General features: G+C 36.1%; 1 long non-coding RNA gene across 1 annotated transcript in view; it reads left to right on the plus strand.

The window, feature by feature from the left end:
* The window catches only part of LINC02141 (long intergenic non-protein coding RNA 2141), a 198,621-nt gene extending 191,751 nt beyond the window's left edge, over positions 1–6,870 (plus strand). The window contains exon 4 of the long non-coding RNA NR_110917.1: positions 752–6,870. This is a non-coding gene — a long non-coding RNA (long intergenic non-protein coding RNA 2141). The remainder of the gene's footprint in view (positions 1–751) is intronic.
* Positions 6,871–16,245: the final 9,375 nt, after the last annotated feature.

Genomic DNA, 16,245 nt, shown 5'->3' on the forward strand with positions numbered 1-16,245 from the left:
GGTCCACCCCCTTTAATTGACATCATTCTTTCTTTCTTTCCTTTTTTTTTTTTTTTTTTTGAGATGGAGTATTGCTTTTGTTGCCCAGGCTGGAGTGCAGTGGTGGGATCTTGGCTCACTGCAACCTCTGCCTCCTGGGTTCAAGCGATTCTCCTGCCTCAGCCTCCCGAGAAGCTGGGATTACAGGCGCCCACCACCACATCTGGCTAATTTTTTGTATTTTTAGTAGAGACGGAGTTTCACCATGTTGGTCAGGCTGGTCTCAACATCACTCTTTCTTAAAGCATACCTACCATAATAGCAACAGCATTGGTGACATTCACCACCCACAGCACTTATCTAGCACTTAATGTGCCTCCAAGACCCTATCAGGAGCTCTACACCCATTTTCCTTCACAGTTGCTTATGCGGTAGCTAATTGACTTAGGTGAGGAGAAAAATACACAAATTTCAAGAGGGATAAAAATGTGCTTTTCACGCAGAAACTACACAAATACACACAACTAAAAGAGGCACAACAAAATATTTTTGGAAGGAAATCTGTAAGAACATCTGTCATACAGGTAAACAAATTAAAACGAATATGTCTAAACAAGAGAATTCAAATCCCACACAGGAAATTCCCCAGATATAAGAAATTTACATCTAAGGGAAAATAATAGGAACTTTTAGATTTTATTTTATTTCTCAGTATAACACTTATCTTTAATGCTGTTCTGTTTATGGTACTGTTATTGAAATTCAATCACAGGGATAGAAGAGGACCATGGATGCAGCTGGCAAGAAAGATGAAGGAGCCAAACAGTAATCAGGAGAATACTATCCTGGGTGCTAAAGATGCTATTAAATGGCTTCAGAGATCAAGAAAAGAAGTTGGTGTGGAGATAAAGAAAACGAGCATTTGAGGCCGGGCCCAGTGGCTCTCACCTGTAATCCCAGCACTTTGGGAGGCTGAGGCGGGTAGATCACTAAATCAGGAGTTCGAGAGCAGCCTGGATGACCTGGTGAAACCCCGTCTCTACTAAAAGTACAAAAATTAGGCGGGCATGGTGGCGCATGCCTGTAATCCCAGCTACTAGGGAGGCTGAGGCAGGGGAATCGCTTGCACCTAGGAGGCGGAGGTTGCAGTGAGCTGAGATCACTTCACTGCACACCAGCCTGGGTGACAGAGCAAGACTCCATCTTGCAAAACAAACAAACAAACAACAACAACAACAAAAAAACAAGCAATTGGTATGTTGATTCTGAGATGCCACAAGTGCACCTAGAAGGCAATATGACAGCTGGTTATACTCTTCTTGAGATCCTCAATATGGGTGGTCTGAGAAGATTAGCCAGTAGAAGAGAGGAGACAAGAATCAAGGCTAATGCACTCTTTCAGAGGCCGAGGAAGGAGAGGACTTCAGAAGGATGGGGGCGGTGGTCAGGAAGGCCCAATTATTTTTTGCAATTACTAAAATAGTAACATAATTTTGGCAATTCTTCTATGTGACTATGTGGGGTGAACCCCAATGTGCTAGGAAAACATCAAATTTGTTGGAAATTCTGGTCTCTCTTGAAGTTAACAATCTTTCTTGACCATTCTTTGAGAACAGTCCGTAAAAACTAATTTGCTTTGCATCTGTATTCCCCAGTATTTAACCTAGATGTTTATCATTCATTCTTTCTGCACTTTTTCATCCTTTGTAATTGCAACTAGGGTTCTCTGTCTAAATTTCCACTTTGACTTCTCTCCACAGTATTTCTGTTTTACTCCTCACATTGACTGGGCTGTGTCACCAGCCTCATATAAGAACCTCACAGTTAAAAATGTCCTCTCTGCCTATCTACTCCTGTACCATCCTCATGGACAGGTTTCTACAGGGCACAGGTATAGACTGTGTATCAAAGAAGCCGGCTATACCAGGAATACATACAAGCAACTGTTAAAATCCAAATAATTATTTTGTTACTGAAGTGTTTAAGCATCAGAGCTTAAAATGAAGCATCTTTTGTAGTTTTAAGTTTTTATATATAAATTAAGTTATTCTTCCATTTCACAGTTGGTAACACCTAGAAAACCTGATTGAAAAAAACACATTGGGAGAAAGAGGACACAGATATCATCTGGAAAGGAAAAGATTTGTGTTAACAAATATATAACGTGCTCACAATGGAAAGCTCCCACTTCTCACTTTCCCTCCTCCTTCCAGCTAACATGGGTTTGGGTTTGTTTTGTTGTTGTTTTATAAGCTGTCACAGTGGTAGATGCAGATTGAAGCTCCAGGCAATTGCAATTAAATCAGGAAAAAGATATGCATTCACCAAGGTTAACACAAGCTGCAGCTTAATCAGGATGAAACAAACAAACACATCCAAGGACCTCAAAATAAATACAGCCATTTCAATCACCTTCTTTTAATATCCACCTCCCCCCGCCCCCGCAACCCCTGCAATAACTTAAAAAAACACGCGCAATGAAAAGCTAAATAAATAAGTTCCCAAGTCAATATATATGTCATGAAAATTTTCAAGCTACCAATGTAACACATTATTTCAGTTTATTGGCTATTGATCTCAAAACAAGTCATTATAGGATTAAAGACAAATTTTGATACAATAGAGACTCCTCATATATAAGCCATAGACACATGTATAAACTTAATATTGATTGACTTTACAGATAAATATTCATAATGAGCTCATTGTTTTAATTTGTGTTTGAATACGTGTTTCCTTTTAAATTTGGTTTGAGGATATAAATTTTGGTAAATGGCTTATCAGCATTACATCTAAATAGATGTGCATACAAATACACTGAGGATGGTGGTTCGAGTGTAGTAGGCCATATGAACTTCATATGATTGGTTTTTTGTGATGGCATTACATTTATCATCATCTCTTGTCATTATTATTTTTTAAATGATCTATTTAATTTGGATACTTTCAGTCTCTATAGGTAACTCTCCATGTTGCTGCCAGACCTATTACGTTAAAAAAAAACTTCTATTTTTCTCAAAATGTTGTATGGCTCTCTGTTTCCTACAGATACAAATTCTAAACTCTTTAGCTTAATTTCTAAAGTTACCTATTTTTCCCTATGCCCTTGTTTTTTTCTGATTAAATTACTTTATAGGAATGTATTTATACAAAGCTTAGACCTAACAGTCCTGATTAACTCATCTTTAACCAAGCTTCTGAGCCTTTGTTGGTGCTGCTCCTACAGCTTGGGACAGTATTTTCACTGCCCCCAAAATTATCAGTCTCCTAGTATTTCTTAAAGACTGAAGCCCGGGTGTGTGATGTTCCCCTCCCTGTGTCCATGTGTTCTTATTGTTCACTCCCACTTATGAGTGAGAACATGCGGTGTTTGGTTTTCTGTTCCTGTGTTAATTTGCTGAGAATGATGGTTTCCAGCTTCATCTATGTCCCTGCAAAGGACATGAACTCATCCTTTTTTTAGACTGAAGGCATCCTTCTGTGATGCCTTGTCTAACGCTCCCAGTTAGACTCACTCGTTCCTTTGCACTGCCAGCAGTACTTTGCTTATACTTTTTGAAATAGCGTGTGTTTTATTCTCCTGCCTTGATTTTAGTCATTAACACATGCATCTCTTGATAGAAATTTTTATCATCTTAAGGTAAGGGGCCACATCCAATTTAATTCTATATGTCACTCCCATATTATCTAGATTACTATTGGTACCTGGTAGGTTTAGACTTATTAATTTATATTTTAATCCACAAATCTAGCCATCTATTTATTCAATAATTTATCACCTCTTGCATAAATATTGAGCTCTTTATATGATACTCAATGGTAACAAAGATACAGTGAATGAACCATAACAAAGACACAGTGAATGAACAGACAGTAGTACCTATCCTGGCTTCACTGACATTCTTGTCTGAAAGACAAGCTTTAACAAGTAGTTGCAAGGAAGTGTGCAATGAGTGTTTGGTCTAGTTTGAACACTAGGAAAAGAAGAATGCCACAGTCTAGGTACCATTAAAGTCCACCTTGAGAAAGTGCTCTTTAATTTGAAGTTTGAGTGATTAGAAAATGTTCACCAATTTAAGAAGGGGAAGAAGGCAGAACAGAGTGTTTCACTCTAAAGAAGAAAAAGAATGTGAAAATCTGTAAAGATAAAAGAGATTTCTTTAGTTATTTTCTAAAAGAGAAAGTGAGAGAAGAGAATGAAGGAGAGTGACAGAAAGATACTAAAATAAGAGTTTTATGGAACAAGACCTCAAAAGGATGTAGAAAAGCCATATAAATTTATAATCTTGAGTAATAGCAAAATAAGTAAGACAATTTTGAAAATATTATATTATATTCTGACTTCTCCAGAAGAGAACTTAAGGATGCTGTTAAACAATGGTCAAATTATAAGTGAATAGGGAAGGTAGGAATTGATTCTAGCATCTACAGATAAGACCAAATATATTTGTTATCACCAAACAATGGTATGACTATGTACTTAATTGGCTATCTGTAGTCAACTCTGAAAATCTATCCCATATCTAATTCCTCATTTCAACTATAAGACCCCAAACCTAGTTGGTATACAATAAATCATTGTTGAGTGATAGAAAATATATAAAACATTGCATATCTTCCCAGATGTGTACAAATTGTTACATTGCCCACGTTATAGAAATATATGACAGCTTTCACTTACATTTCTCACATCTCTCAGATGCATATTTTTTGCTTTATTGGCTTTAAACTCATATTAATACCATAAAATCAGCCCTGGGGGCACTGTTAGGCTATAAGCATTTCTCTGATTCAAATGTTATATATCCATACTCCTACATCATTACTTCCCAGTGTCTGTTATTTTCAGAATTTTCTGAAGGCAAGATTCTTGCCCTCCTTCTCTGTCATTTAGACTTAATTTATTCTCTTAAAAATTGCATTCAAGTCAGAACCAGTTATTACTAAATGGTACGGTTTGTTCCTTTTCTAATGTTTTTCCTTTGTTTTGTTTCTTTTCTACACTTCTTTTTAGAAGGAGCTCCAAAGATCTGCCACTTCATTTTCCTCTCTCACTCTTAAATCCTTTCTGCAGTAATGGCAACTAGTGGTCCTTTTGTTCTGTTTAAGCAATTTATGGAACAGCTTGTCCCCAACATCCCAATAATTTTGTACATGATTAACTGTCAAAATAGTCTTTATTTTAATGAACTAAACTTAGCCTCTTTGTCACCTTTGTAAAAAAAATTCTACATTATGCTTTCTAGAGACATTAAGAAAAAATTAAATAACATGACTCTCTTTCTTGCATGGTAGAATTCCACTATTTTAAGACAATGTTTACAGCATACTTTTTTCTTTCTAAACACAATATGGTCCAGATGACAGGTATGTGTTCCTGATCTCTTGAGAGTTACATATCCCTATTTCAACCCCTGTCCTCTGTTCCATGGAAGTTTAAATCAACCACCAATATTTCTGGAATTTAATGGGTTAACTGCATTCTCAAGGCTATCTATGTTTACGGTTTGTATTTCTATATACAGTCATTCTTATCCCAACCTAATTAGTCAGGATAGGGAATTTCTCAATTTCTTGATTCCATTTAACACAAATGATTTGCAGAATATTGAAGATTCTGGGAATACAGTAGTGTAGAGGAATGGTTTATTTCTATTTTCCAATAATGTATACCCTTGAAACAGAACACTTAACATTCCCGTTCTTATACTGCCTTTTACTGTCTTATACTCTCTTTTTCACTGATTAACTTTATTCTATGCCATTCCCAGTCTCTTTGTCTTCTCATTGGCTTACCTTCTCACTACACTACCTTCTCTGTCTTTTCCCTTCTCATTGAAATTGTGGATAGATTCTCTCTCCCCGCTCTCTCTGTAACTCTCTCCCTCTGCTTTACCCTTTCCTTTCTTCCTCTCTTTCTTCTCCTATCTCTTCAACCTCTTCACCATCTCTCTCTTACCTCACTGTTAGTTCTAGTTTATAAATTCAGAAAATGAGTCTCAGAGAAGTTAAGTGACTCGTGCAAGTTCACCTGGTTAGCAAGATTAAGATTCATACTCTGCTCTGTCAGCCATCTATTTTTGTTTAGTTTGACCTTCTTAAAATTAATGTTGTTAAATCTGACCTATGATGACGCCTTGTTAGACAGTAAAAGCTTATTGAATTACATATTTTATGCTTTTTGGAAATGTGACCAATGTGTAATGGATACTGTTAACAACAAATTGAATAAAAGGTACACCCTTAATACCAGAGTGAATTAGGGCAAGCTACAAACGATGTGATATATTACTGGAGTCATTGTTATTGAATTAAAGCTTCCTAGTATTTGATATATGGATTAATAATCAAACATATATGTATTTTAATATGGTCCATCTCTGAATGATGAAACATGAAAAGAAAACATTGCATCCATCATTGTTGCATTATTTTTAATTTTGAAAGTAGCTAATGTATTTATCTAGAAATAAAATCATATTAACCCATACAAGCTTATACATAGCATAAAGCATTATATAATACACATTAAATGCATAGATATTTTTACATGTGTCAAGATTGAAAGTGGAGTGTGGGGTGTAGTAATCCCAGAAATAAGGAAGCTATGAGTGGGGGAATCATAAAAATATGAAAAGAAACTCCTTCCAAATGATTGAATGATTCCTAAAGTGTGCATATGCAGAGTAAAATTTCAAACAAAAGCAATAGCTATAATTGAACAGTTTCAGCAATTGCCTTTTAAATTTATGCTTTTAAATTTTATACTTTTAAATTTTGATGTAACTGGAAGCTTACAGGAAAACTGTAAATGCTGTATCCAGATTCACCAAGTGCTTTTATTGCTCTGTGTATGAATATATATGTAAAATAAATGTTACACATATAAAACTAAGCTGCAGATCTAATTTTACACACACATATTTTTTGAAGTAATTGAGAAGTTGTAAATATCATATCCTTTTTTCTCTAAATACTTCCTAGTGTAATTCCTAAGAATAAAGATAGTATCTTACATATGCACAGTACTGTGGTCAGAATTAGAAAAATTTACGTGGATACAATGCTATTATGTACTCTACAGTCCATATTTAAATTTTGTGTGTTATCCCAGTAATGTTTTGTATACTATTTTATTATCGGGCCAGGATCCAATGCGGGATTACATAGCGTATTTAGTGTTCACGTTTCTTTACTCATAAATGGGATTAATGCCCTTATAAAGAGATTTCAGAGAGCTGCCTTGCCTCTTTGACCCCTTTCACCATGTGAGAATGCAGCAATAGGGTGCCATCTATGGAGCAGAAATGAGCCCTCATCAGACACTGACTCTACTAGCTTCTTGGTCGTGAACTTTCCAGCCTTTTTAACCAAGAGAAATAAAATTCTATTATTTATAAATTATCCAGTCTAAGGTATTTTGTTATGGCAGCAAGAACAGATTAAGACACTTGGAGTGTCTGAGTTATATCTCCCATGAAGTTATGATTTTCTCCTTGTAATTAATGAGTCGCTTGTGGACAGATATCCCAAAATTATTCAAATAATCTCTTTCTTGAGAAAGTATCACTCAATAGCTTTAGTTCCACTGATAGTTTTCCAAAGCCACCATTCGCTCTGTATTTATTAGTTAAATTTCAACTGTAAGGAAGATTTTCTTTTTCATTTCTTTATTTATTCACTTATTTATCTATATAATTTTGAACTCATGAATCCTTTTGTTACTCAATGAGTCATAGCCCATTACTCTTATTATTATTTTGCTGTCCAAATTGTCTTTAGTTTTTGGTCAGTCAAGTCCCTTTAAGCTGGCTTCTGTGTCACTTGGATATGTACTTATCTTTCTTTATATATTCCTTACTTCAAGGCATATCAAGAGTATCAAGTTTATTGCTTACTTTCCTGGACCCAGCCCTGAATTCAATCTTTCCTCCAAGCCACCTTAACTTAGTTTAAAGAAGGGTTGCACTTAGAAAACCGAATCCGAATGCTAGGCATCCTTTTTGCTAAGGGTGTGCCATTACTTTTAATCTCTTTAAGATGGAAGAAAATGACAAAATGTGTGTGTCTGTGTGTGTGTATTTTTATATCTATATTTTAAAATTATTCTTTCGTATATTTTTCTATCCCATTCTCCCTCACCTCTCCCTCTCCTCTCTCTCTCTTGTCTGTCTCTCCACTCCAGCCCTATGGTTTGATATTATTCCACAGGTCACTAAAAACTAAAACTTCATCTCTTTTATCTTTCTTTTTGTCTTTATAAAATTTATAAATATCTTCCCATTTCTCTTTGAATTTACTGACCCTTTTCTTTAGTGCCTCTACTTCTCCACTTTGCTGTTAAGACTTTCAAATGAATTATTCACCTCAAATGTTATACTTTTCCATTTTATTATATTTTTATTATTTCCATTTTACTGTTAAAAGTCTCCATATTTTCACCCATTATGATTATCTTTGTTAAAAGTTGTTAATATACTTATTATAGCTGCTTTAAAGCCCTGTCTGAAATTTAAAATATCTATGTAATTTGGGGCAGCTTCTAGTTACCTCTTTTTTGCTTAATTATAGGTTATATATGTATCTACCTATATATATGAAAAGATAAATATATCTTTATGTATATATCTTTTTTTCTTATCTCATACTAAACATTGTAAATAATACATTTTAGAGACACTGGATTCTGTTATTTTCCTCTGCTGAGTATTTAATCGGTTAATTAACCAGTTAAACTGTCTAGACTTAAATCCTAAATTTTATGGTGGCAATTGCTGAAACTGTTCAATTATAGCTATTGCTTTTGTTTGAAATTTCACTCTGCATATGCACAGTTCAGGAATCATTCAATAATTTGGAAGGAGTTTCTTTTCACAGTTTTATGATTTCTCTCTCTCATAGTTTCCTCATTTCTGGGATTACTACACCCCACACTTCACTTTCTCTCTTGACTTGAAACAGTAAACTACAAAAACCCTCAAACATTTTCAGCTAAAGTCAGCATTCTCCCACACATGGAAATCCCCTTTTATCTTTTGAAAACAAAAGCCAATGAAATATAATTTAGGCAAAGCAAAGCAAAAATATCACAAATGAAATCAAAAGGGAGATGAAATATTTCACAGATTCCTCTGTTGTAATGCTAAAGCCATGGACAGATACCGCTTGAAGGAGAACAAAATTTAACAAATACCATTGGTGTTTATACATGCAATATTCTAATTGGACTCCAAAATGTTTTGGTTGACAGCAATACGTGTTGCTGGGAATCAATCTAGTAAAAATGTGTACTAGTACATCTTTTTATAGGTTTAGCCATATTCATAATAGAAAAAATAAATGACGTTAGATCGATGAGGTTACTAGAAGACTTTTTTTTTTTTTGAGATGGATCTCACTCTGTTGTCCAGGCTGGAGTGCAATGGTATAATCTCTGCTCACTGCAACCCCTGCCTCTGAGGTTCTAATGATTCTCCTGCCTCAGCGTCCTCAGTAGTTGGGATTACAGGCGCTCACCACCACACCCAGTTAATTTTTGTATTTTTAGTGAAAACAGGGTTTCACCCTGTTGGCCAGGCTAGTCTCGAGCTCCTGATCTCAAGTGATCCACTGCCTCAGCCTTCCAAAGTGCTGGGATTACAGACGTGAGCCACCACACCCGGCCAAAGACATTTTAAACAAAATGAATTTAAGAATGCATTTAGGAATACTGGAACATTTAATCGTTTACTTAAAAATGCTCCCCTGCACCTGGAAACTGATACAGGATGTATGCGTAATGTTTTCGATTCTCATTTTTCTTTTGCTATTTTCCCTTTTACTCCTTTCCTTTTGCCATTATAGATATATACTCCATTCCTTTAACACTCCTCACTTCATCCTGGTGATATAAAATAAAGATTGGAAGTTCCAGAAGTTTTCTTTTAGCTCATTCTATGATTAAACTACACACTTATTATTTAGGAAATCATAGTATACAGAGAGCTAGTACTTCCTAAGAGCTCTCAGGTAGCACATGGCTGTGTCTGGACTGCAGTTTAGCTCTCCTAACTTTAAGTTATGTGCAATTCCTACTACAACTGTCTCTTATTTTACCTTCTCTTCTGGGTAAATGATACAAATCCTTCCTCAACAAAATGTTTCAGGCAAGAACCCCAGGAGAGAACACCAGCAGATAATCTCTAGTTATACAAGAAAATGACAATTTCCACTACATCTTTGAGATATGAAGGAGGGAAGTATTCAGTAGCAAACCTGCATGCTGCTGGCTCAGTGGGTCTTTTATTCAATATTCATTAATTACTATAGCCTGGTGTTATGCTGGGCACTGGAGAGAAGGTGATAAACAAGATTCAGAGCTTATCTTCATAAAGCTCATAGCCTAGTGAGGCTTGTGACAAATACTTTTCTAGAGGCGTAAAATATATAGTAGACCAATGATGGTAAGAACAACTCTAGATGAGTGATTACACATGGATTCACAAAGGCAATGGTGTTTGCCCCATATTTGTCTTGTGTAAAGAGCCTAGAATGGCTTTACAGGCTAAGGGGGACACTGTGGTATTTTACTTAGACTCATCTTTTAGACCAAGGAAGATATCCTTCCATCTGTCTGGAGTTTTGGCTGTTGATGGCTTATAGCTGAATCTCTGTTGCTTGCATTCAGCCAAAGAAAGGTGCCTTGTTCAAGACCCACCCTCCATACCCCCCAGAGAAATACCACATTTAATGACAGGTCAGTTTTGTCTACAAAGTCCTGGTTTCTTTGCTTTAATTCAGAAAAATGGAAAATAAGATTTTCTAAGGTCTCTGTTTCAATGGTTTCACAGTTTAACTTCTCCTGCTACCCAATTCTACTTCTCTTACTCCTTTCAGCTTTTGTCCCATAGACCATGCTCCAGTAAACTTCCTGTGGCCCAAATATCCATCTCATAATCTGTTTCCTGGAGAACTTTATCTAAGACATAGAGAAAAGGAGTTCTTTGTTAAAAGTACCAAGAAGAGGCAAGAGGCAAAAGGCAATGGTTAAGCAGGCATAATGCATGGATTTGGTGGGGTTGGAGGGAAGGACTGAATATGTGGCTAATAGAGAAGAAGGGATCATAATGACCTTGGCTGGGGAATTCAGAGCTAATCTTGTGGACACTGGGAGGTCACTAAGAGTTTTCATTTGTTGTTTTTGTTGTTGTTGTTTATTTTTTATGGTACATGATGGAAAGAGAAAGATCAGTCAAATGGCCATAGGAAAAAACACAGATAGTGATTTATCCTAGCTCTGTTTCCTCTTCTATTATTAGAATTTTTATACTAAATTTTGTCTCTCATTTAAAAAATACTTATAAAAGATGTTGCAGTATGTAGTAAAAATAGTGAGATCATGGCTTCTGTTATCAAACTTTAAAAAATTACCTTTGACTCAAATTATAAGAAAAAAAGTATTTTAAGTTTCTTGTAACAGAAAGAGCACCCACATGGTGTGTCTTCCAATCATGGGGAATGAGAAGGGTTTTATAGGTGCAATGAGGTAGGCTTTGGTCAGGAAGATGTTGCAATCTTGCCGAAAGGAATTGTTTTCCTTTGCAATTTGGCCCATCTCAGTGCATGATGTCCTGTTTTAGGAACTGTGAAACTGAAGAAGGGATTTAGAGGGAGAGGGTTTATTCTGTTTTCTTGAGAGCAAGGGGGTTAGGGTAACCATGGAGCAATAAGTTTTGCAGGTCTTCATACTTAAGATGACTTAGCAAGAATTGGAAGGATGAATTCGGGGCTCTTGAGAGTTAGAAATGAAAGGATCCTTGGCAACTAGATGAGGAGGATGATGAAAGATGAGTCTTGGATGACTGGGGGCCAAGAATGAGTTGGGTTTAGATGATTGGTTGACAAGAAGTGATGATTCTTAGCCCTGATGTGTAGTGCTGCTGGGGAAGTGGATTTGTGAAAAGCTAATAGATTAAGCTAATGTGCTGAGTTTGAATTTTCTGTGTAGCAGAGTGCAGTGAAAAAGGCATGGCCACACTGTTTACTAGCTCTTTGATCTTAGGAGAGTGACTTACCCTCTTGGTGTCCTGAGCTGAAAAATGAAGACATGAAAGAATTCTGACTTCATAATGATGTTAAAATTGAAATGGAATCATGCACATGAAGCACTTCATACACTGAGGGTTAGAGAAAGTAAGTGATTACATCATACATATATATGATTGTTACATTCTGGTAATTAGTCTTTGACAAGAAAGTGAAAGGTAATTTGAATTGTAATAGCAAGTGTCAAGGGAGGTGCCTATCATGGTAGCAGTACAACTGACTTGTAGTTTTGACTAAAGTACACATAAATGCAGAAAGGTAAGTTTCACCCATATGTTATATGAAGTTTTATAGACGACCTCAGTAATGACATCAGATAAATATTTCTCCCTATTAAAAATGAATATAATAAATAAAATGTCAGAAAAAAATTTACAGAATCTCTTTTATGTGTCTTATCTTGTGTAGGTGGTGGAAATACTGGGGCAAAGAGTACAGTCATAGTCACTGCCTTCATAGACAGACTCATGCCACAGTGCTCCTACCTTCTAAATGTAATGATTAAATACATGGATAATTACATTAAGGAGCCAACTCTGGTGCCTCACACTCCTCCTCCTGCCTGGATCACAGCTGGAGAATATAAGTATAAATTAATACATTTATCGCCAAATACTTAACGAGCATCTTTTGTATTCAGGGCACAGTACAAGGTACTTTGGAAGCTCCTGAGACAAATTAATCAAATATTCTCAAGGAGTTTCTGATGTACCGTGAGTAAAATATATACATATAATGAAATTACAAAGTAGAAAATGTCCTACACTATAAAAGAGAAAAATTCTGCAGGGATCTTGAGAAATATGGAATTGTTTTTATTTGAAAGAAAAAAGGTCTTCAATGATATTTTTCCTGGGACTTAATGAGTGAGACGTCTTTGGATATGATCTGAAAGTCTTTCCATATACTATTTTCATACACTATTTCTCTTCTTCCTCCCTGGAGTTTGTAATTCAAGGTGCCACCATGAGAAGATTTCTGGATGCAGGGTCAAAAAGATCTGAATTCTAGTCCAGTTCCTTGTTTTTCCACTTACGTGTATCTAATACATAGAATCATTATCTTCATGCAAATCTTACATTTTAATAAGCACATCTGTGCATTTTCTGTCTCTTGACTTCGGGAGGAACCACTTAGAATTCTGAGCTTCAGTTTCCTCAATAGAAAAATGGGAAAATTAACCCTTCTTTGTGTACATCTGAGGAGCAAGGATGTTAGGAATATGACAGTCTTGTACAAACTGTAAAACATCATATGGCCCTGTAGAGTTGTAATCAGAACAGTAAAGTCCTGGACAAATCAAGCAACTCATTACACAAAGTGTTGGATGACTGAGTTTTAAAGCTTCAAGCTCTTAATATACTATTCAACACCCTGAAAACATAAAGTTGAGAAAGGGGGAAAAAAGAAGGGAAGGACAGCGGCTTCTTCTCAGGGGACCCGAATGCCCATTAAAATGCATCTAGCAGGGGACATAAAACCAATGAGAAGGAGCAATTTACTTTTACTGCTGGGGCAGGAGCCATGCAACTATTTTTACTAACTACGGCTGTTCCCGTCTATTAGAGTACCTAAAATATTTATGATCACTGTCTCTGTGTGAAACACTGTCTGTCGCAAGCAGAAACATTAACCTGTGTTGGAATGTGTTTGTTGTCATTTTCTTGTCTGATAATTAATGCAGTGGAAATAGAGAGGGGCTGAGCAAAATTCTCATATAGCACATGAAGAAAAGAAAAATGAGGAAGCCGTGGCACCATGCCAGGGGCAAGAGCTTTGCCAATTTGGCATTTTGCCTACCTAGACTGGGGGATTACCCTGTAGTATATTAAAGTATCAGCTTTTTAATTTACCAAATTATTTTCCAGATGTTTTTGGCAAAAAGGGACTTCTTGGCAAACATTTGAGTACTTGTCAGAGAATTACACACTTAATATTACACTACTTATTATTTTAATTAATGACAGGAAGAAGTTTGCTTGAAGACAATTCTTAGCCACGCAAAAAAGAATGTTAATATTTTATGAGGTGAGGAAATTATCTTTAACACTGAAATGTTCAGAAATTATAACAGAAGGAATATTACTGGAAAAAATGAGCTGGTTGTAGTTACATTTACTGTTAGCAATTCTGACAAAAAGAGATCATAAGGAATATTGATATTCAGGCAGCATGCTGTAAGATTAGCAAGAACATATGTGAAATTAATATGTTCCACGCATAAAAGGTCAATAAATAATAGTTCAATTAGAATTTGAGAATAGATGTAAAAATAGTGTTGGATGCAAGTGACATCAATCCTCATCTCTGGTCTGTTAGCAACTTTGTGTACTAATGTTCCTGCTATCATTTATTGAATGCTCTCTATGTGTCAGGCATTCTGTTAAGCACTTTACACAAATGTTAGAACTTGGAACAACTACTTGTTATGCTCAGGAGAGTGAGTTTCCTGGAATTTAAATCATTTGCTCAAATGCACTGAGCAAATAAGTGGTTGAGCCATTCCACAGTCTAAGTTTTAAACTGTGTTATCATTACCTTTCTAAATCATTCAGGAAAAAAAGAAGCTGAGTTTCTCCATCTTTCAAAAGAATCAGCTGCCATAGGAATTCTAGTTGGTGCCATCCATTTTTGGGGTCTCATATTCTACACGTATTTAGTTCGTTCCCTCTGCCAGTCCCTCTGCCAACCAATGATCAATTTCACTTCAATGTACTTATTAAATCCATGCTTAAAGATACCTGCTGAATGCTCTCCCTTTTGCCCCTTCCAAAATTTCTAGCTACTTAGAAAGCCTTCCTGCCACCTCCACCTCCTGAGTAGCTATGACTATGGGCCATAGCCTTATTGTTTCCAACCAGAAACATCTGGAAAATAATACAGTAGCATTTCTAGATACTTCTTCAATCTAACCAGGGTGAAAGAAATGAAACATACATATCTTGAGACATATAAACTTCTTTTTATAACAGTTTAACCTCACAAGATGTTAAGTTGCCTATTGACACCCTTCTGATTTTTATCACAATGGTCAGTTGCTGGATCCTCTTTTTGTTCCTTTTTAACTGGCCACCACTTTGATAGCCTTGTGAACAAAATTGTGTTTTTGCTTTGTTTTGTTCTGTATTTTGAAGGGTTACAACCTTGGTTTTACTAATAATGTGGGTCTTTTTTTAAATAGCTGAAGTGTCACTTTTTTGCCCAAGCTGGAGTACAGTGGCTTGATCATAGCTCACTGCAGCCTTGACCTCCTGGGCTCAAGCAATCCTCCCACCTCAGCCTCCTGGGTAGCTATGACTACAGGTGCACTGACTCTAATATATATATTATATATATAGGTGCACTGACTCTAATATATATATATATATATGTATTGTATATATATATATAAGATCTTGCTATGCTGACCAGGCTGGTCTCACACTCCTGGCCTCAAGGAATCCTCCTGCCTCTGCCTCCCAAAGTGCTGCAATTTACAGGCGTAAGCCATCAGGCCAGGCCAATGATGTGGATCTTGAGAAATGTGACTATTGGTGGTAACAGTATCCATGTTAGAGGACTATTCCTTTTTGTAATAAATTAGTACGAAAGCAAGCAAGACATCTAATGTCATGCTCACACAGTTATATTTCTATAATAATTTCTTGAGTAAGAGAAAAATGATAGAGTTATAGCTAGCATGCACAACAGTGGGCACATTAATATAATTTATATTTCACAGATATAAAAATCAAACATTGTTTTATAGTAGAAAAAATTTAAGAATGGTGGCTATATCTAAATGTGAAGATCAATATGACTTCTTTCTCAGTCTTTTAATGTTGAACTCATCCAATAATGACTGCCAGCCTCAGCTTTCCTTAGAGTAGTATCATGGAGTATAAAATTAGTAACACCCCAAAACTCCGCTCAATCTGAACCAACATTATCAGTGTACATGGAGAGTCACCTCCGTGCTCTACTTCCACATTCAAAGTCACAGCCTCAGCCAGTCGTGGAGTTCTGCTTACACTCCTAGCTCTCCCTTCCCCTGCACACTTAGCTCATCTTGCCACCAACCCCAACACCCACTTTTATATTACTTTTCTTAATTACTCTGTCCCTTAAAATGAGCTTTTATTCTTTTAAAAATAATTATTTCAGCATTTGGAAAGAACAGCACAGAGTATACTTTATGATTTA

The sequence above is a fragment of the Homo sapiens genome, chromosome 16, assembly GCF_000001405.40.
Source record: "Homo sapiens chromosome 16, GRCh38.p14 Primary Assembly".
In the NCBI taxonomy this organism is placed as follows: Eukaryota; Metazoa; Chordata; class Mammalia; order Primates; family Hominidae; genus Homo; species Homo sapiens.